The following is a 26,379-nucleotide window of genomic DNA, read 5'->3' on the forward strand; positions in this document are numbered from 1 at the left end:
AAGGCTAAATCGCTGTGGAGATGCTTTCAAGCATAAAAACATAAGAGTAGGAGGCAAGAACGAACAAGGGAAATTTGTGAGACACAAAAGAAAGTAGTCTGATGAGAGCAGAGGGCAGAGAAGAAATGAGACTTGCTAGGTAGAATGGTCAAATAATGGGAACCTTTGAAATAAAATAAAGTGCCTACTATGGGGGGGCAGTTCCTTCCCTGTACGTGGTGCCTATCTCAAGGCAAAAGTAGAGAAGAGATTTACGACGAGGATTTTATTAGGTTGGTGCAAAAGTAATTGCAGAGAAAAAAGAAGTGTTTTACGGAGGTCATTTTGACAAGCTGTATTTGATTTTTTAAAAAAGAGATTAAGATAATACATTTTATGTTATGTGCTTTTTACCTAATTTTTTAAAAATGAAGAAGACAGATGAGGAGGAGGAGAAAGAGTTCAGATGACTGCTAGGAGATGAAATCCTATACCAGAGAGAAGAAAGAAGAGTGACCCGTTCTGCCCTAGGTCTTTTGGTTATTTGAAGTAGCTGCTTCTCCACCCCACCCCCAGAAACAGTAACAAGCACTCACCACCTTCTTCAGAGAGTGTGTGAGAGAATAAAGGTCAGGAGAGAAAACATGTTTAGTGCATCTGAAAGGAAACCCGCGAGTTAACCACTTCCTTCTGTCCCCACCCTTCCATCTTTCTCTAAATATTGGTGAGGTTATGGAGCTTGCGTTGGCGCGCGGGAAGCCGAGAAGAACGGGACTCAAAGCCCGGCTGGGAAGTCAGGTATCTAGTTGGCCGGCGATAAGGGTTTCACCTTCAGGACTGGAGCTCCACAAGATTCAACCGTTATATCAACCTCCCCGGCCCAGGTCTTACCATCACAGCGTCACAAACTCCAGGTCGCCTAGGCGCTGCGCAGGAAGCGCTTGCCAGCCCCGGACTTCTGCGCGCGCTGCATGCCCATTGGATGTGCTCATTCCCACCCCAGCCAATCCCGAAACTCGCTCGGACGCTGACAGAAGACTGCGCCGCTGCTTTGGGATTGGTAGCTGAGTTTTGTGTCGCGCCTTTTCTGACGATGCGAACAACATGGCGGCGGAAAGTGGTAGCGATTTTCAGCAGAGACGTAGAAGGCGCCGGGACCCGGAGGAACCGGAAAAAACAGAACTCAGCGAAAGAGAGCTGGCAGTAGCAGTGGCGGTGTCCCAGGAGAACGATGAGGAGAACGAAGAGCGCTGGGTTGGACCTTTACCTGTGGAGGCAACACTGGCCAAGAAGAGGAAAGGTAGCTGCAGACATAGTACCGGGACGAATTGGAGTGCTGCGTCCGCTGAGTAGGAGGGTTCAAGCCAGATCCGAAGAGGGATGATGTGTGGAGTTTTGTGCCCTCAGAACAGAGGGCCGTCCTCTCACTTCTGGCTACTCCATACTTGCATGTCTTAACGAAATAGTGATTTAAGCGTAGTACAACGTCTTTTTGATAATATCTAACACTTTTGATCATTGATTTGTTATGACAGATGCTAAAACTAACATTTTCCTATTCTTATGTGTTTGGCTCCTCTCATTTACTCCCCACAGCAGCCACATGAAGTTGGAATTTCGAACTCTTATTTAGGTATGCAAAAGGGTACCAGTTCTCTTTAAGGCTTTAGTTCAGGAGTGGTGTTAATGTATTAATGTGTTGGGGCGCGAGAGGAAGGCGGTGCTTATTTCGAATCATGGTAGGTAAAGATAATTTCAACTCTGACACTTCCACTAATAAATTTTCGCATCTAGGGAAAATGACGTAAGCTTCCTAGATCACAGATTTGTTTTCATCCAAAACCCGAAGTCTGTGGTTTTGAAATCACGCTCTTGATACGATGGGCTGAGTCTTTTTGTCACTAACGAGGAATAATCACAAATTATTATCAAATAAAAGGGGTGGGAAAAGGGGTAGATTAAGTTTTCTTGTCTTTGTTGTTTTGTTATCTTGTTTTTCTGTGAAATGTTTTCCTTAAGTATTTAAGACATTTTAAATGTGGTCTAAGCTCAAATCGTACTTTAGCACCTTCCCTTAAAAAACTTCAATGATTTGTCATTATTTTCTCTCTCTTTTTTTTTTTTTTTTTTTTTTTTGAGACGGAGTCTCGCTCTGTCGCCCAGGCTGGAGCGCATGCAGTGGCGCTATCTCGGCTCACCGCAACCTCCGTCTCCGGGGTTCAAGCGATTCTCCTGCCTCAGCCTCCCGAGTAGCTGGGGCTACAGGCGCACGCCCAGCTAATTTTTGTATTTTTAGTAGGGACGGGGTTTCACCATGTTGGCCAGGATGGTCTTGATTTCTTGACCTCGTAATCTGCCTGCCTCGGCCTCTCAAAAGTGCTGGGATTACAGGCATGAGCCACGGCGCCCAGCTCATTATTTTCATTAAAGCCCAAACTCCCTCACATGGCATATAAAGCCCTTTATGATGTGATCTCTCCTTACCTTCTTAGTGCATCTTCCATTACCTTCCTCTCCCAACCCCTTACTTTGTACTCCACCCATTCTAAAATCACTCGAGAATCGGTCTTGTACTTTTTTTTCCTCTGGATTCCTACCCAGATATGGTGTTTCTACCGGGAATAATTTCCCTCAACTCTTCCACTGAACTGACTTTTGGTCAACCTTTAGCACTTAGCTATCATCTTCTCTGGGAAGCCTGTGACTTCTCCAGTCTGGACTGGATTTCTGAAGCACTTTGATCATAACTCTGAGGTAGTTATATATCAATACTGAATTTACAGGTAGCCTTCAAATTTTATGTATCCAAATTTTGAAGAAGCTGTTTTTTTGAACGTTGTATATTGACACCCTTACAGTGCATTATCATTTTTACTTCCTGGTCCTCTTATTAAATGTTTCCATAGTAACCATTTTATTTATGGCACTTGCCGCAGTTTCTAATTATATATTTATTCATGTGATTGATGAATGTTTCTCTCCACTGCTAAGACTGTAAACAAGTAAGAACCAGAATCACGCCTTTTTTGTTTCATTGCTTGGTGTACAGTGCTTTGCCTAAGTATTTAATGACTGCATATTAAAGCTTTTATGCTGGTCTTTAGCTATTTTGTTGCATATGAATATTTTTGCAAGTTCTTTTTTAATTAAACGAGTAAGGAGAAATGTAAAAATCCAGAAATATCGAAATGCTGATATTAGTGTTACCGGACAAGTGTCTTATAAACTTAATATAACGGAGACAGATATAAATTAGTAGGTGTGAAAATCTTTCCTCTTAATCAGTTATTTATTGTTTTAAGACAGCCAATAGTTGGCCGGGTGTGGTGGCTGATGCCTGTAATCCTGGCACTTTGGGAGGCTGAGGCGGGCAGATCATCAGGTCAGGAGTTCTAGACCAGCCTGACCAACATGGTGAAACCCCGCCAGTCTCTACTAAAAATACAAAAAAATTAGCCGGGCGTGGTGGCGCACACCTATAATCTCAGCTATTCAGGAGGCTGAGGCAGGAGAATCACTTGAACCCAGGAGGCAGAGGTTGCAGTGAGCTGAGATTGTGCCACTGTACTTCAGCATGGGCAACAGAGCAAGACTCCGTCTCAAAAAAAAAAAAAAAAAAAGCCAATAGTTTATTCAGTTTGAAGAAAAAAATTGAAACTAAAAAACATACATAGAATGTTACAAAAATATTTAAAATTTTGTCTAAATGGACAAGTATTTAACAATTTCAGCTTTCTAGAAATGGAGTCACCCCCTTTAACATGTTCTTTGGACATTGGACTGTTGTATATATTTTCAGAAAGACATGATTATATAGCACTATATCTCTTCAGGACAGGAACTGTGTTTTACTCTTCTTTATGCCCATGTGACCTAGAACGTATTGTGTTCTTAGTAAGTATTTGTCCACAAGTGAACTATCACACAGAAAAAGGAATCTGGATCAGATAGGATTAAGTTTATCTACATACTACAGAAAAACCCAAAATAACGATGTTGAAGAGATAGAGCTGTACTTTTATGTGTAGAAGTACCAAGACAGGCAGGCAGTCCAGGATTGGTGTGGAGGCTCCAGAAGTTCCTAGGCTCTCTCCAGCTTTCTGCCCAACATAACTAAGGTACAGCCCTCATCTTCATTTCTCTGAATGATTATTAAGATTACAGCAGTTATATCCCAGTTCCAAGCTATAGGATTGAGGAAAGGAAGAAGGGTACACTTTTTCAAGACTTCCTGTGACAAAACATTTCCACTTTTACTCATTAGCATATGGTTAAACCTCACTCCAGGGGAAAGTGAGAAAGGTCATGTTATATCTGGACATCAGTATGCCCATATATAAATGGGGGTTCTGTTCCTAAAAATGAAGGGAAAAGTAGTTTATCAGACACAAGCCTGAAACAGCTCGTCATGTTTAATTTAGCAACTTTTTTTAGGCACGTTTGGTCATCGTTCAGTTATTTTATTTGGGATACATATAATTCTCCCCTCCCCTCGTTCCCTCCTTCCTTCCCTTCTTTCTCTTCCTTCTTCTCTCCCTCCCTCCCTTCGTCTTTCTTTCCCTCCCTTCTTTCCTTCCTTACTTCCCTCCCTCATTCTCTCCATCCCTTTCTTTCTTTTTTTTTTTTTGCTAGTAAAATTGTTCATACCTCATATAATAAATCAGTATTTCCTGACATTCCTCAGATTACTACTCTTTCAGGTGGATTTTTTCCAGGTTTTGCCGTTGGAAAAAATTTGAGATACATTCAACTGGATACTCCCTAGGATGTTCTCAGGCATAAAAATCTAAGAATTTTACCATGTTTAAATGTTTCAAACACAGTGTCAATAACTTGAAAGAGAATCAGTGCTTTAAATATTAACTGAGACATCTTACAGATGGCCACTGGACTCTTTTAAGTTAGCACTAAATTATGTCTACAATGTTAGGAAGATGGTTGTGATATTTTCATGGAACTTTTTAATTTTTTTTCCTTTTTCTTTCTTTTTTCTTTTCTTTTTTTTTAATAGAACATTCACATTAAGCCAGAAGCACTCATTTCTTAAGTCCTGGGGACAGTTAGCATGTATATAGTACCTGGGAACCTGTTGTAACTGACTAAATAATGACGCTATTCAGTGCTCTGAAATAATAGACGTTAAAACTGAGATAACATACTGGATTTTTTAATTGTGAATTGAGAAAAACTAAAATCCAGGAGAAAATACCAAGTAGAGTGTAGACAATTTTAAATAAAGAAAATACAAAATAGTATTTGGTTTATTTGTTAAAAATAGATCTTATACTTTACTTTTTTTTCTTCAGTCTTAGAGTTTGAAAGAGTCTATCTTGATAATCTCCCCAGTGCATCCATGTATGAGCGCAGTTACATGCATAGAGATGTTATCACCCATGTGGTATGCACCAAGTAAGTCTATCACATCTTTTTTACTTTGTTCTGAGTTTATTTAAAAAAAAAAAAAGCTTCAATTTTGAGGTAGATTTATAGAGATAATTTTAAGATTTTGTAGATTTTTAATTTCTTAAGTTCTGAAATAAAGGCCTACATGTTCTTTCCTATATCGTACAAATAATGCATTCTCTAAGATAGAACCCCTGAGTTTATATGTATGTCTTTGGAGATAAATGCCAAGAGGGGAGTGAACCAGGTAGTGTCTGAGCTTCCCTGAAGAAGAGGGTACATTAGTTAAGATATGAGTAACTGGTACCTGGCCTCTTTGGCACTAGTGGAGAAAATGTGGGCTAACATACCCTAGGAATAGCAAAGGACCTTCAAAACAGATGAGTAGGTTCGTGTAGAAGGATAATAATAGTACAAGTTGAGCACCCCAAATATAAAATGCTCCAAAATCCAATAGTTTTTGAGTGCTGAACATGATACTCAAAAAATGCTCTTTGGAGCATTTGAGATTTTCTGATTAGGGATGTTCAACCAGCAAGTATAATGTAAATATTCTAAAATCTGAGAAATTGAAACTCCAAAACACTTCTGGTCCGATACATTTTGGATAAGGGATACTCAAACTGTAGTAATATTCTACTGTTTGTTGAGCTTATAGTATGTCCCAGGTACTATGCTAAGGCTTTTTCTTTTTTTATCTATCAAGTTAAGGCTTTTTCATAAATTTTCTTATTTATCATAAGGATAATCTTGTGAGTTAGTACATGCTCTTCATTTTAGAGATGACGAAACTGAAGTTTAGAGAGGTTAGATAGCATATTAGGCTGCTATTTAAAAGGCAAGGGCTAAATCCTAGAAGACTTTTTATTTCTTGTACGGGTTTTGAACCTGTGAGCAGGAGAGTAACATCATCAGATTTATTTTTATTAAAGGACCACCCTGGCTGTGGTGAGATGAATGGATTCAAACAGGGCAAGAATGGATACAGGGAGATAAGTTAGGAAGCTGGTATAGAAATCTGGATGAGATATGGTGGCTTGGATGATACTAGCAGTGAGTATGGGAAGTAGGTGGATTACTTTACACTTTTTTAGATCAGTCTATTCTTGATGTCTTGAAGACAAATTTAATTTCATATATAAATCTAAATAAAATATTTATATTTCATGTAAAATAGGATAATTCTGACCAAATATTAGCACCTTTTCTAGTCTCAAGTTATCAGTGTGGTAAAACAGTATATATATACATATTAGCATTGCTGTCACTCTCTTCTCAAATATTTTTGTTTTGTTTTTTTAACCCAAGACAATGGAAGGTAATACAGAGAATATAGGTTTTGTGGTGTGGTAGATTGAAAGCCACTCTAGCTATATGGACCTGAGGCAAGTACATTTAACATTTTAAAACTATTTCCTACTTATAAAATGATGATAAAAATACGTAGAGTTGCTGTAAAATTAACTAAGGTAATATGTACAAAGTACCTGACATATACTGGGTTTCCATAAATGATTTCTATTTTTACATACCTAATAGGAAAGATTCTTCTGTACAAAATCTTTTTGATACTTAAGTAACCAAAATACCTTGTATAGGATATAAAAAAAACTTTTGTTGAATTTTGTTGCGTATGAAAGTAGTATGTTTAGATTTACTTATCAGCTACTGACAAATAGTTTATTTTCTTGTGAAAAGACTGTCTGTAGGGTAATTTTAGCAATAAGGAATCCAAAGTGTAGTGATTCCTAGTGAGATTTTTATTTTAATGTCAAATTCTAGTTCAATTCTGATCCTAGCTCTTGAGGTTAAAATTAGTACAGCTGTAACTGTTTTGACATCCAGAAAGGAGTTTCAAAATTTGCAGTGTTCTGTAATATAGTGGTCTGCTTAAAGAAGGGTTTTTTTTAAAAAAAAACCTATTATGCACAAGTCAGATTCTTAGTGAATGATTGCTTTGGGAATACTAAGTGATTCATAGATCTGTCTTAGAAATTAACTTTTAACATTTCATATATGCAGAACAGATTTTATTATTACTGCCAGTCATGATGGACATGTCAAGTTCTGGAAAAAAATAGAAGAGGGAATTGAATTTGTTAAACATTTTCGTAGTCACCTGGGTAAGAATTGCACCTCATTTTCTTGTAGCTCTTTCCTAAACTATACTAATTAAAGTTTAAATTTTTTAAATTTTTTTTCTTTGAATCATGCACACTTATTTTACTGTTATTTACTAGAATGTTTTAATTTCATTTATTGAAATAGGAGTTATTGAGAGTATTGCAGTTAGCTCTGAGGGAGCATTGTTCTGTTCTGTGGGTGATGATAAAGCAATGAAGGTGTTTGATGTAGTGAACTTTGACATGATCAACATGCTGAAACTTGGGTGAGTCTTTTTAAAAGTATATATATTTTAACTTATTGAAGTAATTTGTAAATCAGACTTTACCATTTAATAGGTTATTTCTAAATAGTATATTACCATATCTTTAAATAAAATGTGCTGTTGGGTTTTGCTTGGAAAATTAGATACAGTGAAGCCTTATAATGTTTGGAAGCATCTGCTATGATTTGTTATCAATCACAGAAATTTCTAAACAGCATCATAACAAGGATTCCTTATATCCAAATTGACATTACTTAGTAATATTACTGGAGCTCTGTCATATCTAATTACTGGTAGTTACAGTTAACTTCCTTGCTTTACTTATTTCAGTAATATAGAATTGAGTTCCTATAAGATTTATTCACATTTTTGGAATTAAAGCTATTTATTGGTGACTTTAAACTTTGGAATATATTGATACTAAAACTATGGTTAGATTGTACAGTATTAAGACTGATACTTTGTTTTAAGCATGTCTTTTTTAAGATAACATAGAATTTATACACATCTAAATGAATGTCAGCTTGAAAGTCATAACAGTGTCAGAAAGTTTTGGGACTCGCCTTAGTCTGCTTGGATGCCATAACAAAAAAACCATAGACTAGGTGACTTAAATACAGAAATCTATTTTCTCACAGTTCTGGAGGCTGGAAAGTCCAAGATCAAGGTTCCATCAGGGTTTGATTTCTGATGAGGGCTGTCTTTCTTACTTCTCCCTATGTTCTCCCATGGTTGGAGGAAGAAGGAAGGGAGAGGGAAGAAGGAAAGGGAGATCTTTTTTTCTTCTTATAAGGCTACAAGCCCATCAGATTAGGACCCCACCCTGACTCTTATGAGCTCATTAACCTTAATTACCTCCTGAAGACCATGTCTCTAGAAATTCCAACTGATGGAATTCCAACTGTGGGCTGAATTATGCCCACAATTCAAATAATTTCACATCTTAGAATTTCCTTCAAAATCAGTTTATGACTTTATGAGCCACTAAAGGAAATAAATCTCATTATTTATGGTTAGAATGGCACAAACATACCTGTCTTGATCACCTGTCCTACTCCCCAGGTTTGTTTCCTCAAAGCTTTCCATTCACAGATATTGAATGTTTGCCCTTTGAGAATACTTGGAAGAGTATATTTCAGACTTTGATAGAAATTCTTGAAGAAGAGGTCTGGAAGGTTTTGAACATCAGCACCGTGGTTAGAATAATAGTGTCACTTCTCCGAATCTCTACTTTGAAGGAAACAACATTCATTTTTGAGTGTTTTAGTACAATTGATTAGATCAGTCTGAATTCTGTTATGCCTTGTTCATCAGGTAGAATGTTTAAAGCTTTGAGTTTTAATATCAAGATTTAGTTAGTAATGAGAGTGTTTTAGGACAGTGTTTTTCTTTGACGTATTGTCATAATAAAATATTTGATTTAAATATTTCAAGAAAGGATTTATAAAATACACTATTACATGCTAATCTATTTTAAAGTAAGTTATACATAGACTGTTGTACAGAGATCCAAAAAGCAATGTCCCAGAAGATCTTAAGGTCCAGATCTGATTAGGTTTCCTTATCTGCCCAAGAGAAATAAGTGTGCTGCTATATGCAGTTCTTTTCTTATGTTTTGACAGATCCTTAGAACTATCATTATACTGATGAGGTCAGAAAGAGAAAAAATAAGTAACTATTCTTAGCTGTTCCTCCCCATTCTGTGTCTCTGCTACTTTTGAGCAAGGAATCCAAAACTGTCTAAATCACCAGCCAAGACATTTTTGGTAGTGGGATAGGGAGGGATGCTTGCTTGTTGTGCTGACCTTTTTTTTTCCCTCTCAATTCTTTACGATTTTAGCTATTTTCCTGGACAGTGTGAGTGGATCTATTGCCCAGGGGATGCAATTTCTTCAGTTGCTGCTTCCGAAAAGAGTACAGGAAAAATTTTCATTTATGATGGCCGAGGAGATAACCAGCCACTTCATATTTTTGACAAACTCCATACATCACCTCTTACTCAGATACGGCTAAACCCAGTTTACAAAGCAGTAGTGTCTTCTGACAAATCTGGGATGATTGAATACTGGACTGGGCCTCCTCATGAATATAAATTCCCCAAAAATGTGAACTGGGAATATAAAACTGACACTGATTTATATGAATTTGCCAAGTGTAAGGCTTATCCAACCAGCGTATGTTTTTCACCAGATGGGAAGAAAATAGCTACTATTGGTTCTGATAGAAAAGTTAGAATTTTCAGATTTGTAACTGGAAAACTCATGAGAGTCTTTGATGAATCACTAAGCGTAAGTGTAATTTAAATTTAACCGTACTTTACTTTTCTAAAAATGCTTTATTTTATGCCTTTTCTTGAAAGATCTTTTTTCTACAGATAGACATTTAGATAGACTTATTTTTTTCTTAGCACATTAGAGATATTCAACTGTTTCTGTCTTGTAGTGTTGCTCTTTGAAAGTCTCTTCTCTAGGGGTTTATGATGTGCGTTTTTCAAGTCAATTATTGTCTTATTTTTGTGGTTATTTTGTTTTTTACAATTTTGTTTTGTTTGCAAGCTGTTAAGATCCTCAAAACTCATTCTAGGACCCCTTATCTTCTCACTCTTTATTCACTCCTGTCCCTATGACTACTTCTAAATTTACTTCTCTAACCTTCTATTACAAGCAAACCTGGTGCTATCTCTTGTCCTGTCTTCATAAATGGTGCCAGTATCCATCTAGTTGCTCAAACCAGAAATCTAAGAGTTATCCTTAACTCTTTTACCCTTCTGTGTAATTCACTGGAGTCCTGCCAATTTTGCTTTCCAAATATACTTTAAATTCACCAATTTCTTTTCAGCACAGCTGTCACTAACCATAGTTCATGCTCTTTTGCCTGACCTATTACATGGCCTACTACCTGTATTTATTCTGGCTTCTTCCTAATATCCACTCTGCACCCAGGGCCATCTTTTACAAGCATATATCTGGTCATGTCATTCCTTTGCCTAGAACTTTTCAGTTAATTCCTTCTGTTCTTGGGATCAAGACCAGAGTCATGGCTTACCATGTTGTGATACCATAAGTCACCTTTCTCCCTGCCTTTTATTCTGCCATTTGGGTCTTCTTTTTATTTCTTGAACCTGCCTCCCACCACAGGACCTTTTTATAAGTTGTTTCCTCCACCTGGAGTGAGGCCCTCCCTCCTCATATTCCTCCATTACCTATTGAACTGGTACTTCAAATTTCAAATGAAGAGTCACTTCCCCTGGAAGGCTTTCACTAGTCATCCTGTCTTGCACAGTTTTTTTATTTTTTATTATTTATTTATTTAATTAATTTATTTTCTGAGACAGAGTTGCACTTGAGTGCAGTGGCATGATCCAGCTCACTGCAACCTCCGCCCCCTGGGTTCAAGCGATTCTCCTGTCTCAGCTTCCCAAGTAGCTGGGACTATAGGCGTGTGCCACCACACTTAGCTAATATATATATATATATATTTTTTTTTTATTAGAGATGGGTTTTTTTTAGTACAGATGGTTTTTTTTTTTTTTTTTTTTTTTTTTTTTTTTTTTTTAAGTACAGACGGGTTTCACCGTGTTAGCCAGGCTGGTCTTGAACTCCTGGCCTCAAGTGATCTGCCTGCCTTGGCGTCCCAAAGTGCTGGGATTACAGGTGTGAGGCACGGTGCCAAGCCAGCAGAGTTTTTTTTAATGTGACTGTAGATCACTGTTTCTTTTAGAGCATTTGATATGGTCATATTATTTGATTAATGTGTATCACCTCCAGTAGACTAAGCCCTATGTGATCTGTTTTAACTTATGATTCTATCTCCAGCAGTGAGAACAGTACCTCACACAAGAGTTACTCAAATATTTTGAAAGAGTGACTCTAGCCATCACTTGTTAGACTGCTAACAAGAATTTGTTACAGCATGTAGTCGTGGAATAAGAGTTTTTAATCCATGCAGTTAAGCGGTTTCTGTGATTGCAACTATTGCCATCAAGTGGTTCTCTGAATCCTCTGAGTCTGGATTGAACCTTTGTAGCAAAGTTTATTGTATGACAGTGTCAGTTCTTTTGTCCTTGGCAGTGACCAATTTGCATTGGATTCCCTGCTGTAAGCTCTTCATAAATTCTGTCAACTCTTTCTAGTGGCGATCTTGATTTGGTGGCACGTGGTAATAAATGAGTTGGTTGTCTGTCTGTCTGAAGTAATATATTTCCAGACAAATGTGAAGATCTGTTTGCCAGCCAAATTATCCTTATGACAAATTTTCTTGTTGGAAGAAGATAGCTTTCCACTCTGCTTTTAAGGAGAAACATTTATCGGTAATACTTTCTTTAATGGTGGCAGATAACTAAATATGACTTGCAATTTAAATATAATTTTAAAATTCTATTAACTTGCAGCTCTTCCAAGATCCCTTAGGCAAAGAAATATTCAGAATCTAGTCTCTGGACACAAATCTCTTTTTTTTTTTTTTTTTTTTTTTTTTGAGACGGAGTCTCGCCCTGTTGCCCAGGCCGGACTGCGGACTGTAGTGGCTCAATCGCGGCTCACTGCAAGCTCCGCTTCCCGGGTTCACGCCATTCTCCTGCCTCAGCCTCCCGAGTAGCTGGGACTACAGGCGCCCGCCACTGCGCCCGGCTAATTTTTTGTATTTTTAGTAGAGACGGGGTTTCACCTTGTTAGCCAGGATGGTCTCGATCTCCTGACCTCATGATCCACCCGCCTCGGCCTCCCAAAGTGCTGGGATTACAGGCGTGAGCCACCGCGCCCGGCCGGCACAAATCTCTTAACACACATACTCTGAGCTGCTCAATCCACTCTATTTGCTCATTGTTGTCTTCAACATTTGCTTAAATGATTAGCCTGAGGTGACAAGAAGTCAGTAGTAGAACTTAAGACAGAAGTGGAGATTCAGAATGAGAGTTTGCCAAAAAAGCCAACCATCAGTTAAATTACTTACAGTGCTAGTGACTAGTAAATGACTGGAATCTCAAGGAGGTGGTAGTGGAGGAGGGTAGTTTCTAACCAGTCGGAATCCTAGTTTAACAGAAAAGAAATTGAATGGGATGGTGTAAATTATCTTTTAGTATTTATTAACCAGGGTCACTATATATGGCTGTGCAGTTGAATATCACAGAAGCCCTGCTATGAAGTCTAGAGCACTCTGAAAAAGATTCTGATCAGGTACTTACCAGGTTGGATAACATTTATGGAATACTTATATAGGGACAGATGACCACCTACAGACCTTATGCCTTAAAAACTGAGTCTTCTCTCCGGCAGAAATGATCATTAGCCCTTCCCTGCAAAATGTGTAGTCCAGCATCCTAGGCTATTCCTGGCACATGAATAAGCAGCGTAATATGTATCAGTCTCCCTGTCTTTGAGACTAGAGACAAGAAAACCTAACAACTAGGCTTTTTAACTGTTCTGTAAGACCTTGACCTTGTGCTTATACCCTAACACACATACCTCATTTTGATTTTTTGAGTTTTGTATATAGTTCTAACCTTATCTAGAAAACACAAGATTATGGTTAATATAAGCATGAAATAAGGATAGAATTAGATGGGACAGAAGTCTGGCTTATTTTCATCTGCAATGGAGAGCTATTTTTGAATGCTACTGTTTGATGCCCTGATTGTGTAGAAAAGAATGTAAAGATCGTTACTCTTTTGGAAGGTTCATAATATGTTAATACAGTTATTGAGATGTGATGCCTATCTTGAAATTTGTGTAATATCAAAAGAAAAGTAAACCAAATTTCCAAACTATAAAGGACACTTATAGAAATAGTCATGTCTACTAAATAACATGTACCTAATGGTAATCTCACTGCCCTGTGTCAGAATAACTTGAGACATTTTCTGAAATATTATGAATTTGTTATAAATTAGTGAGATGAATTCATTCAGCAAAAATTGAGTGCTTGTTATGTCAGGCACGTAACCTTGCTCAAGGACCTCATAGTCTATAGCTGCATTATCCAGTATAAACAGTCACTAGCCACGTGTCTACTGAGCATTTGATAGATGGCTAGTCCAAACTGAGATATGCTGAAAGTGTAAAATACAAGATTTCAAAGACTTAATTTTTTTTAAAAGAATGTAAGTTATCTCAATTTTTTATATTGTTGAGATGATATTCTGGATATTTTGAGTTTAATCAAACATTAAAATGAAATTCACCTGTTTTCTTTATACTTTGTTTAATGTTACTAGACACTTTAAAATTACCTATGTGGCTTGTGTTATATTTCATTGGAAAGTGCTACTCTGTGACTTTTAAAAGGCAGCAGATGTATTCTGTAGAGAAAGCAGTAGTTCTATTAACCAACCGGGTTTTGTTTTAAATTAGAAGAACCAGTTACCATTTTGAAATACAATTTTTTTTTTTTTTTTTTTTTGAGACGGAGTCTCACTCTGTCCCCCAGGCCAGAGTGCAGTGGCGCAATTTCGGCTCACTGCAGCGTCTGCCTCCTAGGTTCAAGCGATTCTCTTGCCCCAGCCTCCCGAGTAGCTGGGATTACAGGCACACATCACCATGCCCGGCTAAGTTTTTATGTTTTTAGTGGAGACGGGGTTTCACCATGTTGGCCAGGCTGTTCTTGAACTGATGTCAGGTGATCCACCTGCCTTGGCCTCCCAAAATGCTGGGATTAGAGGCATAAGCCACCATGCCCAGCCTGAAATACTATTTTTTAGTGATTGGACTTACTAATGTCTATTTCATATTGTTTAGAATCCCTCTTAAGAAGTACAAACAGTTAGTGGCTCTTAATATGTATTCTGCTTCTATTTAAATTCTCATTGCATATATAGATAGATGGGTTGATATAGATATAGGTATATGTATATAGAGTTTTTGTTACTAAATGGTTTATTTCCTAGATGTTTACTGAACTGCAACAGATGAGGCAACAGTTACCAGACATGGAATTTGGCCGACGAATGGCTGTAGAACGTGAGTTGGAGAAGGTTGATGCTGTAAGATTAATTAATATAGTTTTTGATGAAACTGGACACTTCGTGCTGTATGGAACAATGCTGGGCATTAAAGTTATAAATGTAGAGACAAACCGGTAAGCTTTAATATGAGGTATGTTTTTTAAAAATGTGTTTGTGGGGGACCATTTCCTCCATCATGGGAACAGTGGGAGTATTGTTTGTTCCAAGAAAAGTGGAATGGCCCCAAATGTCTAAACTTAACCAAATGTTTTGACTGGATTTTTCTGTGGTCTCTTGGTTGTTTATAATCTTATGTAGAAAGTTTCCACTCATGTTTGTAAAAGAAATGGAAAGAAGATATGCATAGTTTCAAGTTGTTGTGTGTTTTTTTTAACAAGTTTGTCTGTCTTTTGCTTATTGATTTAAATTAGCCTGGTTCATGTTAAATGTTGCCAAAGATTTTAACCACAGAATTCAGCATTACTTCCTGCTAGACATAAAATCAAAAGTTAAAATGCATGAAACCACAGTAAGCCTTTTTTGTGAAAACAGTCCATTTGGTCTTAGTACAAAATAGCTACAATCAGATACTCTCACTGAATGTAAATGAACAGAACTTAATATTTTAAGGAGAAAAAAATGTCCTGTACATTTCCATGTATAAACATATTTATATTGTAGTTCTTGGCAATACAAAATCTTTGAAGTTTTGCAGAACAGTTAACAGACATGGAATTTTAATAAGAATAGGTTAAAACTGTATAAACAAATGATTGATTGTTTTTAATAGACCTTACTTTTTTGAACAGTTTTAGGTTCACAGCAAAATTAAGAGGAAGATACAGAGATTTTCCATATACCCTCTGCCCCAACACATGCATAGCCTCCCCATTATCAACGTCCCCCACCAGAGTGGTCCATTTGTTCCATTGATGAACCTACATTGACACCCAGAGTCCATAGTTTACATTAGGGTTCACCCTTGGTGTTGTATATTCTATAGGTTTGGAGAAATGTATAATGGCATGTATCCACCATCATATTATCATATAGAGTAGTTTTACTGCCTTCAAAATCCTCTGCTCTGACTGTTCAACCACTGATCTTTTCACCATCTCCATAGTTTTGCCTCTTCCAGAATGTGATATAGCTAAAATCATACAGTATGTAGTCTGTCCAGATTGGCTCCTTTCGGTAATATGCATTTAAGTTTCCTCCATGCCTCACCACAGCTTGATAGCTCATTTCTTTTTAGCACTGAATAATACTCCATTGTCTGGATGTACCACAGTTGATCCATTCACGTACTGAAAGACATCTTGGTTGCTTCCAAGTTTTGGCAGTTATGTATAAAAGCTGCTATAATCATCTGTGTACAGGTGTTTGTGTAGTCATTTCAGCTCCTTTTGGTAAATACCAAGGAGCACAATTGCTGGATCATATGGTAACAGAATGTTTAGTTTTGTAACAGCCAAACTGCCTTTCGAAGTGGCTATACTCTTTTTGCATTCCCACCAGCAATGAATGAGTGTTCCTGTCACTCCACATCTGTGCCACCATTTGGTATTGTCAGTGTTCCAGATTTGGGCCATTTTAATAGATGTGTAATGGTATCTTGTTTTAGTGTGGATTTCCCTGGCAACATATGAGGTGGAGTATCTTTTCATATGCTATTTACCATTTGTATATCTCTTTGATGAAGTATATGTGAAGGTCCTTGGGACATTTTTTAATTGGGTTGTGTTCTTATTGTTGTGTTTTAAGAGTTCTTTATATATATGTATATACATATATATATACATATATATATACACACATATATGTGTATATATATATACATATATATGTGTATATATATATACATATATATGTGTATATATATACTTTTTTTTAAAAAAAGAGTTTTTTATATATTTTGGATAACAGTCCTTTATGAGCCGTTCTCCTAGTCTGTGACTTTTCATTCTCTTGATTGGTTTTTTGTTGTTGTTGTTTTTTATTGAGATGGAGTCTTGTTCTGTCACCCAGGCTGGAGAGCAGTGGCACGATCTCGGCTCACAACCTCTGCCTCCTGAGTTCAAGTGATTCTTGTGTCTCAGCCTCCCTAGTAGTTGGGATTACAGGTGCCTGCCACCATGCTTGACCAATTTCTTGTATTTTTAATGGCGATGGGGTTTCACCACGTTGGCCAGGCTGGTCTCGAACTCCTGACCTCAAGTGATCTGCCTGCCTCGGCCTCCCAAAGTGCTGGGATTACAGGTGTGAGCCACCGTGCCTGGCCTCATTTCTGTTTTTTAACCTGAAAATTATAGCTGCCTACCAGTTTAAATTGATACCTTTTGGGGGGTAGAGAAACACTTTTAAAAATCTTTCACTAGTTATTTTGTACATAGATAAGATAGTTGATTCCCAGCTTTTATCTGTAAAGTTGTCATAATTGGAATTAACTTCGGTGATTCTGTTGTATAAAACATTGTTATATTTTTAGGTGTGTGCGGATTTTAGGCAAACAAGAAAATATTAGAGTGATGCAATTGGCTTTGTTCCAGGGGATAGCCAAAAAGCATCGTGCTGCAACTACTATAGAAATGAAAGCTTCTGAAAATCCTGTTCTTCAGAATATTCAAGCTGACCCAACAATAGTCTGTACATCATTCAAAAAGAATAGATTTTATATGGTATGTGTAAGTACTAGGAGATTAGACGGTAATGTTCCTTCCAGTTTGGTTTGACTTTTCTTTGTTTGTACCTTCAACTGAAGAGAATGTTGGCACTAATAGCAGACTTCCTAAACAACCAGAATACCATCTTACATTAATATTGTAGAATTTTAAAGTAGAAGTTGATTTTAAGTATTTCTGTACTGTTTTCCATCATGTTTTGAAATTTTTCAACCTCGTTTCCACAACTATTTGTGTTGTTTTAGATAGTAGGAAGTTAGTGGTTATAGTCATAATTACATCCAAAATAGTTTCACTGTGGGATTTTAAAAGTGTTTTTATTTTTTCAGCCTTTACTCTTGAATATAATTTATCTTCCCCAAATTAGCACAGCTTCCTTCTCTAAATGCATTTCCTTTTTTACCTTTTGACTTTTATTTTAATGGTGCTACCTTGGAATTATATATTCCTGTGGAATTTTTTTTTTCTCTTCTGGAGAACTAAAAGTACTTTGCATGTTAACTAAGACTGAGATAGTTAAAATCAAACTACCGTGCCATGAAGGAGTAGCACAATTTTATTTGTTCATCCAAGCAGGAAAATCAAAAGTATAGAGACCTATGCCCTTGCATTCTATCCTTCACAATGGAATCAGAGAACTTTTTAAGACCCAAACGTGACTCTTATTTTCTGCCTAATACCCTTTAATGGTGCCCCAGCTATCTATGCTGGCTGGCCCTCCTCACTTCTGTAGCTTTATCTTTCTTCATTTTTCATTCATTTGCTACACGAACCATACTGAAAGTTCACATGTAGTTGAGTGTGCTTTTTAAACTCTGGGCCTTTGCACAGGCTATTCATTCTACCAGCCACACACCTCTCTCCAACTCCTAACTCATACTTCAAGTTTCAGTTTGGAAGCCCCTCTGTTTTTTGGAGATGGCATCTTGCTCTGTTGCCCAGGCTAGAGTGCAGTGACGTGACTTCAGCTCACTGCAGCCTCTGCCTCCTGGGTTCCAGCAATTCGCCTGCCTCAGTCTCCTGGGTAGCTGGGATTATAGGTGCATGCCACCATACCCAGCTAATTTTTGTATTTTTAGTAGTGACAGGGTTTCACCATGTTGGCCAGGCTGGTCTCGAACTCTTGACCTCAGGTAATCCACCTGACTCAGCCTCCCAAAGTGCTGGAATTACAGGCGTGAGCCACCGCACCCAGCCTGGAAGCCCTTTTTAACATCAAGTCTGAGTTAGATGTGCCTGCTATGTTTCTCTTATGCTTCCCCTGTCATATGATGTGTCACACTTTTTGTGTGAACATCAATAATTTATTTTTTTGGCCTCTGACGCTGTGCTCTTCTTCTGAAGATAAAATCCATAAATACAGGCACTATGTCTTCTTCACTGTTAAATCCAGAAAGTTAGGAAATGACTACAGCATTACAGTATATTCATTCATTCCTCCAAAACATTGTAAACTGATGTAATGCTATTAAGGTTAACAGCATTTGATAAATGTATGAAATAGCAGTTTCCCTACCCCAACCAACCTTCCATCTAAATGGGTAAATACTTTTAAGATGAGAATTTCATTTACACCTTTCAAAATTATTACTAAAAATTTATTAGTATATGAAGGAAAAAAATTAATCGTTTTACCTTTAATTTAACTTTGTTAGGAAGTAAAAATTACCCATAAAAGATAATTCTTGGCCAGGAATGGTGGCTTATCCCTGTAAAAACAGCACTTTGCGGGGGCCCAAGCAGAAAGATCATTTGAGCCCAGGACCAAGACCTGCCTGGGCAACATAGCAAGACCTCATCTCTACAAAAAATTTAAGAAGCTAACCAGGCATGGTGGTGTGCACATGTGGTCTCAGCCATGCTGGAAGCTGATGTGGTAGGATCTCTTGAGCCAACGAATTCAAGGTTGCAGTGAGCTATGATCACACCACTGCACTTCAGCCTAGGTGACAGAGCAAGACCCTATTGCTAAACAAAAACAGGCAAAAAAGGATATTTCTTGATATACACTCAAAACACATACACTAATTTTCCATCCACTTTATTCAAAAAACTTATATTTTTTCTTTTCCAAGTTTACTTGTGTGTTGATCAAAGTATATATATTCATTATAAAGTTTGAAAAAATAGAGAAACAAAATAAGTCATTCACTGTAGCTTTATACAGCTAACATTGTTACGAATTTTCTTTGAGTCTTACTAGTACATATTCTTAAGCAAAACTAAAATGGTATGCATATATATGAATTTTGTGTCCCATTTTTCAGATCCAACATGAAATAAAAGTATAATTTTACAAATCCATATATGAGCTAAATCATAATTTTTCAGATCCAACATCATGAAATAAAAGTATGATTTTACAAATCCATATATCAGCTAAGTCATAACTTTAAAAAATTCATATAAACAAATAGTACAACAGACATGCCATTCCTTTGAAAACTGGAGAATAGGATGTTAAGGTGATAGCATCCTAACTTGGTTGTTTATTTGGAATCTATCCAAGCAGATCAAGGAATGACATTAGGCAAGATAGGGATGGAGGCACTAGCTTTACGTTCCCATAATTAAGTTACATCAGATAGAGGTTGCTTAGGAGAGAGCATTTCTACTTAAAGAAACAGGCCTTGAGAAGTCCAGAGTTTTAACAACTGAAAGGTTTTTCTCAATTCTTCCTAGACCCCAAGGATCTGAGATTTCTACAACTTCACTGAAAATTTGCATTCTTTCTCCTATGCTTCAGGGTTTAGATTCTAGGTCAGTTGGGACTGTGAAAAAAAATTAAGGATCCATTTCAGATTCATTTTTGTGAATCCTTATTCTACCTAGCATGGGGTCCTGCTCATAGTAGTAATAACAACTGTTAATATGTATATAGTACCCTCTATGTATTAGGCACTGTTCTCCAAGGACTTAATATCTATTCGTTTAATCTTCACAACTACCTTCATTGCAAGGTATGTACTGTTATCATCATATATGAGTGAGGGAAGAGAAGAAATGAATTCACATCCCCAAAGTCGCAGAACTGGAATTCAAATCCAAACAATCTAAATAATGAACTGAGCAACAAACAGGTGGCATGTTAGGCCTTACTAGAAGGCATAAGTCGAGAGCTACCACAAATGAAACAATTATTCTTGTTAAATGTTTGCCCAAGAAAATTTCTAACCAAAGAAATTAAATTCCATTTGAAATCAATGTGTTCAGTATGTTATGTGGATCCTTTTCATATTAGACAATGTAAAAATAATTTAATTGCCTGACACATCCTGTATGGGAAGTGATTCCTGAAATAAGGATTCTGATGTGAATTCTTACATTTCTTAAGTACTTCATTAGAAATTCTATTGTTCATAAAATTTTTACCAGATGAAAACTTTAATTCGTTGACTCACTTTTTACTTTCCTCCTTGAGTTTACCAAACGAGAACCAGAAGATACGAAAAGTGCAGATTCTGATCGAGATGTTTTTAATGAGAAACCTTCTAAAGAAGAAGTCATGGCAGCTACTCAAGCTGAAGGACCTAAACGAGTTTCGGACAGTGCCATTATCCACACCAGCATGGGAGACATTCACACCAAACTTTTTCCTGTTGAGTATGTATAACAACTGTTTTTATTGGCTTATGTAATTAAGAATGTAAATGTGTATATCTGAAGAAACCATGCAACTTAAAATTCCCGTTACTTTGACTTAAGGAATTTTGAAGAAACGTTTGATAAAAAACATCTATTCCTGAGCTTTCTGATAAGTGTTACGGTAGAAAATGGGAAATTTTTATGCATATATACTTTATAGGTTCATTACGAGGACAAAATGTATTGGCTATGAAAGTGCTGAGTGTAAACTGTAAAGTGATACACAAATGTGTATCACTGTTACTGTTAACAGCACATCTGAACTCTAGGTTTTGTGGATTGCTTTGCTTTCCTCTCAAAGCAAATCCTTAAGAGAAAGATAATTATGTTTCCTTACCAACAGTTGCTAGATACCTACTATCTCTTTATAGTTTCAGTAGCTCTGTGTTTTAAAAGTGAACTACAAGCTGGGTGCAGTGGCACGCACTTGTAATCCCAGCTATTCAGGAGGTTAAGACAGGAAGATCAGTGGAGGCCAGCAGTTTGAGACTAGCCCGAGCAACACGGCAAGACTCTATCTCTTAAAAAAAATTTTTTTTTATTAGCTGGGCATGGTGGCACGCACCTGTATTCCTGGCTATGCTAGAGGCTGAGGTCAAAAGATGTCTTGAGCTCAGGAGTTTGAGGCTGCAGTTAGCTATGGTCAAACCACTGCACTCCAACCTGGGCAACAGAGTGAGACCCTGTTTCTACAAAAACAAATTACAACAAAACCGTAAGGGCTTCAATTGAAAAAAAGGTGAACAGTTTTCTGGACAGTTTAAAAGACTGTAAAATTAACATACAATGTCAAATACAGTAGAGTATCTCTGGCCATTCTTGACCCAAAAAATGACATCTTTTACAACACTTTTACTTAAAAGTTCTTATTTATTAACATTTTGAATATGAACGTTTTATACCATATCTTGGTACTCAACAAATAACTAGGCAGCTCTAGACTCTTGGACAGTCTCACTTTAAGTGCTCAAAACCCATGTACTCTTCGGCCTTGTTTGCTGATGTACTTGGGTACAAGATTCTCTTGGTTCGTCCATTTCCAGCTCTTAGAAGTATTACATGGTAATGAACCGTATGAAATAATTGCATAATTTTCAGTTAATATTATTGAGAAAGCTTCGTACTCTGAGTGTGATTGTCATTTAAAGTTGAATAAATTTAGATGTCATTTCTATGATTAAGGTTTTGGCCAAGAGTATGTCGCTGTAGCATAACAATGCTTTTGTAAGAAAATGACCTTTCCCAGGAACTTAACCTATACTACTACATGCAGACCTATAATACTATATGGAGTAAACTAACTTAAGATATTGGGCCAGGTACAGTGGCTCAGGCCTGTAATCTCAGCACTTTAGGAGGCTGAGGCAGGAGGATGTCTTGAGTCCAGAAAGTCAAGATCAGCCTAGGCAATATAGTGAGACCTTGTCTCTTAAGAAAAAAACATATTTTTAAGGTGCTATGGCTGTATTTTTTTTGACTGCTAAATGACCTTGAAATTTTAATACTGTCAAACTCAAATATTAGTTAAGCAGTCATGTTCTAAAGATAACTAAGTTGAACAATAAGAATATACTACTTACATGACCCTCCGTGCTTGTCCTGAGATTAGAGATTATGAAAAAAAAAAACAACTGTCCTTCTGAAACATTCAGAAGACATGGAAAGGAAACATCATTAGGAAGCAGAACTGCAAAGAAAACTGTTTTAAGATGCTCTGAATAGGTTTCATATTTGTAACATATGTCTTAATAGGTGCCCTAAGACAGTGGAAAACTTCTGTGTTCACAGCAGAAATGGTTATTATAATGGGCATACATTTCACCGTATAATTAAGGTAAGTTACATAAATTTCATGTCATATAAGAAATACTGTATTATTACATAGCAAGAGATTTAAGCGCAAGGAATCTTCTTCTCTCACACTTAATCAGTTTAGTGGAAAGGAACAGGAAAAATACACTATGGAAGCCAAAGGAGGAGTGGATGGTCATAAATATCAACATCTAGAATCAACAGGAATAGTGGCATGATTAGAAACACTGAAGCAATATTTTGTCAGCAGCTAAAGTAAAGGGTAAGATAATGAATAAAGGGTCATGCTGAGATTACATCAGTAACCTAGGTAACCTCTTTGTCGTGGCTAGATAGGGTCTAGATCTAGAAGATATGATTTTTCAATCATAGAGGAGCCACAGTGCCATCTGATCTGTGAGAACCTGTAATATACCAGAGGAGGAGAGAGAACTCAGCCCCTGGATTTTGTTGAGCAGCTTTCCATAAAGTGGATGGGGCACTGATACAGTGCTTGGTTTCTGGCAGGTCAGAAACGGCAGGATGAAAAGTCAGATCTCAGGGTCCTAAAGGAATTAGCGAAAAGGCTTTCCAGGAAATCCAGAGTATTTGGGGAAAGGGAGAGGGAGAAGAGGAGGGCAATTATATAAAACATAACATACAGATCCTAAAATTGATAGTATTAACTGGCTTTATTTGGGTTATTGAGAAAGACAGAACATGTCTATAAATGAGAAGACGACCTTTGCATTTATGTTTCAATCAAGGTGGTGGTTGGGCAATGGAAATACATCATCCAAATTTAAGTGTTAAGGGTTTAATCAAATCACTTTATAGTGACAGTTAATATTACACTGAATACAAAGCACTCTTGGCAGAAATAAAACTTCAAAGCGTACATATATCGAAAAGGACAATGTAATGTTTTTGTGTACTTTCTGTTAAGGGCTTTATGATTCAGACTGGAGATCCAACAGGTACTGGTATGGGAGGAGAAAGCATATGGGGAGGAGAATTTGAAGATGAATTTCATTCAACATTACGACATGACAGGCCATACACACTCAGCATGGCTAACGCGGGATCAAATACTAATGGATCCCAGTTTTTCATAACGGTAGTACCAACGGTAAGTACAGTATCATTGTTTATAAACTACAGATTGATAGGTTATGATGTAAGAGAGTGAACTCAGTAGAAGAGCTGCATTATTCTGTATTTTCTGCATTATTTATATCATCTAGCAGAATACAAATATGAAAATGATCAAGAATATAAAATTATGTGACTAATCAGTTTAGAATTGGTAAAACAATACTGCCACTGTAGTAAGAAATACAATGGACTACGATTCAAGATACTTGAGTTTCAATCTCAACTCTGCCTCTACTGATGATGTAACCTAAAATAAATTATTTCACTTCTGTGAGCCTATTTCCTTGTCTTTAGAATACAAAGATTAGAGTATATGAATTCACAATTTTGAGACAATTTCCCCCACATTTTAGTATCTCTGAAATCAGAATACATTAGATTTGATGAAATACAGTATAAGGTAACCTAGCTCTATTGCTATGCCATAACACAAAATTATAAAAATTACCTAGTTTTTGTTTTGGAATTAAGCACTAAGTGATGAAGAAGGGAAAAATGTAACTACCATCTGCCAGGCACATAGTTTTATGTAGTATTCACAGTACTTCTACTATCAGTATCCCCAGTTTTCAATAATAGATGAAGAAACAGTGAGACATGATTAACTTGCCAAAAGGTCAAGTAGCCAAGCTAGCATTTGAACTCCCACCTGTCTAATGCCAAAGTATGTGCTGCATAAACTATTTCAAACTGCCTCTGAATAAACTGTTCAGGTAAGAGTCCTCCAGAGACCTTTTAAAGCCTTAGCCACAATTCTGTAAGCCATGTGAAGTAACTTACCTTTAGGGAAGATCTTCCAGTTCCCTTTGGTCTGAAAGATGCAGATATTTAATTAAACATTATACTATGCTTCTATTTTTTTTAACACACTGGAAATAACTTTTAAAAGCTGCTACATTTTTATTGCTGAGAAATTATTGTACTTCTTTTTAAATATATGCTAAAGGGGAGCGTAAACTTAAATTCTCTTTAATTTGCTCAACCAGAGGATATAATTTAAAGAAATTGGGGTTTACCAAGATTTTCCATTTGTCCTCCAACACAGCCTTGGCTTGATAATAAGCATACAGTATTTGGACGAGTGACTAAAGGAATGGAAGTTGTACAGAGGATCTCCAACGTCAAAGTCAATCCCAAAACAGATAAGCCCTATGAGGATGTCAGCATCATAAATATTACTGTCAAGTAAAATAAGATTTGTTTTAATGTACTTGCAAATAAAAATACAATATTAAACAGATTATTTTACATTAGGAAGCTTAGGACTTGCTGAATATACAGATCATGTTTCAAAGATACAGTATTTTTGTATTTTTTATTAAAGGCTATTTTTTAAAAATTACCTTTGACTTTTCTCGCAATATTTCTAATCCTGGGAGGTGATAAATTGAAATGGACTAAACTCAGGCAAATAGCACTCATTATAGGTAATTTCTAATCAGCCTCAAATTAAATATTAAATAATTACAGTACTCTCCTCCACCCCCTTTCCCATGGTTTTCTTTCTACTGTCAACCATGATCCAAAAATAGGTGAGTACAATACAGTGAGATATTTTCAGACAGCAAGACCACATTCACTAACTTTTATTACAGTATACTGCTATAGTTGTTCTATTTTATTGTTGTTAATCTCTTACTGTGCCTAATTTATAAATTAAACTTTATCATAGATATATATATATGAAAACACAATATATATGGGGTTTAGTATCATCTGAAGTTTCAGGCATCCACTGGAGGTCTTAGAAGGTATCCCGTGCGATGACAACTCTATTAAATAATGACAGTGGTACACAACTGTGCTTTAATTTTGAATACCTGCCAGATATTCCGCCCTTATGTTTAGAAGAGTGCAGATCCCTCCTATAAGAAAAAAATACTAGGATATGATATTATATGTCATTTCCTTTGTTTTACAAGGTTTCAATGCCAAATATTTTAGTCTTTTGATAACTGTTTAGTAAGTAGTGGTGAGTAAAGCCTCAATAAACAGGAAGTTACTTTGGTCAAAGTGTTATATTCCTTAATAATTATGAAATATTCTTTCAAATGAAAGATTCAGAATAAGTGAATACCTGAGTCCTTAGTTTATTATATGCAGGTTGATTTTCAGATTATTTTTCTAACATAGGTAAACAATTTTTTCTGTCCTCAAGTTATAGTATATCTTTAGAAAATATACCATTAAGAAGTATACATAAAAATTTTGGTATCTAACAATGGAGAGATTAGTAGAAATTGGAGCAGTAAAACAATATGAGCACAAATTCTTATATTGATCTTCTTCACTTACACTTATAACTAACTTCATAACTATTAAGACTCACTGCTTCGTTTCCAGAAAGAAAGACTCTTTCTTTCAGAAACTTACAGGAAGAACATTCTCAACAGACCTGT

The 26,379-nt window shown here is 36.6% G+C and overlaps 2 protein-coding genes across 38 annotated transcripts in view, besides 3 other annotated features; one reads left to right on the plus strand and one right to left on the minus strand.

The window, feature by feature from the left end:
- CENPK (centromere protein K) overlaps positions 1–941 on the minus strand; it is a 67,545-nt gene extending 66,604 nt beyond the window's left edge. For 18 of the 32 annotated variants that reach the window (XR_007058619.1, XR_007058618.1, XR_007058617.1 and 15 more), the window contains exon 1: positions 871–941. The gene's annotated coding sequence lies outside the window, so the exon portion shown is untranslated. Of the gene's footprint in view, positions 1–575 lie in introns of all 32 variants that reach the window. The other 14 variants (XR_007058616.1, XM_047417485.1, XM_011543535.3 and 11 more) reach the window with 4 other exon arrangements.
- Positions 196–857: an enhancer, noted in NCBI's record as "NANOG-H3K27ac-H3K4me1 hESC enhancer chr5:64858250-64858911 (GRCh37/hg19 assembly coordinates)". NCBI's record gives its function as "activates a minimal SCP1, AML or CMV promoter by ChIP-STARR-seq in naive H9 embryonic stem cells {active_cell/tissue: H9 hESC(naive)}" and the evidence as "EXISTENCE:reporter gene assay evidence [ECO:0000049][PMID:30033119]".
- Positions 578–717: an enhancer, noted in NCBI's record as "active region_22606". NCBI's record gives its function as "activates an Ori minimal core promoter by ATAC-STARR-seq in GM12878 lymphoblastoid cells {active_cell/tissue: GM12878}" and the evidence as "EXISTENCE:reporter gene assay evidence [ECO:0000049][PMID:35858748]".
- Positions 858–1,518: an enhancer, noted in NCBI's record as "NANOG-H3K27ac-H3K4me1 hESC enhancer chr5:64858912-64859572 (GRCh37/hg19 assembly coordinates)". NCBI's record gives its function as "activates a minimal SCP1, AML or CMV promoter by ChIP-STARR-seq in naive H9 embryonic stem cells {active_cell/tissue: H9 hESC(naive)}" and the evidence as "EXISTENCE:reporter gene assay evidence [ECO:0000049][PMID:30033119]".
- On the plus strand, positions 1,069–25,322 carry PPWD1 (peptidylprolyl isomerase domain and WD repeat containing 1). Of its 6 annotated transcripts, NM_001278926.2 has the most exons (12): positions 1,069–1,279; positions 1,576–1,612; positions 5,286–5,388; positions 7,405–7,505; positions 7,651–7,771; positions 9,612–10,059; positions 14,652–14,842; positions 17,197–17,386; positions 20,811–20,992; positions 22,787–22,868; positions 23,772–23,954; positions 25,026–25,322. In NM_001278926.2, exons 1-12 carry the CDS (start codon positions 1,211–1,213, stop codon positions 25,167–25,169), a joined length of 1,851 nt encoding a protein of 616 aa, NP_001265855.1. In that variant the 5' UTR covers positions 1,069–1,210; the 3' UTR covers positions 25,170–25,322. The 6 variants fall into 6 exon arrangements, with proteins under 6 accessions (NP_001265855.1, NP_056157.1, NP_001265856.1 ...); NM_015342.4 differs by lacking the exon at positions 1,576–1,612; NM_001278927.2 differs by lacking the exon at positions 1,576–1,612 and having other exon boundaries at positions 7,405–7,430; positions 7,749–7,771.
- Positions 25,323–26,379: the final 1,057 nt, after the last annotated feature.

The sequence above is a fragment of the Homo sapiens genome, chromosome 5 (assembly GCF_000001405.40).
Source record: "Homo sapiens chromosome 5, GRCh38.p14 Primary Assembly".
Lineage (NCBI taxonomy): Eukaryota > Metazoa > Chordata > Mammalia > Primates > Hominidae > Homo > Homo sapiens.

What these genes read in the sequence shown, in the direction of transcription:
- PPWD1 (NM_015342.4), top strand. Translation starts at nt 1,084, where the DNA reads ATGGCGGCGGAAAGTGGTAGCGATTTTCAGCAGAGACGTAGAAGGCGC. An exon ending in ATCAACATGCTGAAACTTGG is followed by an intron (nt 7,772 to 9,611) that starts GTGAGTCTTTTT and finishes TTACGATTTTAG; the next exon opens with CTATTTTCCTGGACAGTGTG. An exon ending in TCTTTGATGAATCACTAAGC is followed by an intron (nt 10,060 to 14,651) that starts GTAAGTGTAATT and finishes TTTATTTCCTAG; the next exon opens with ATGTTTACTGAACTGCAACA.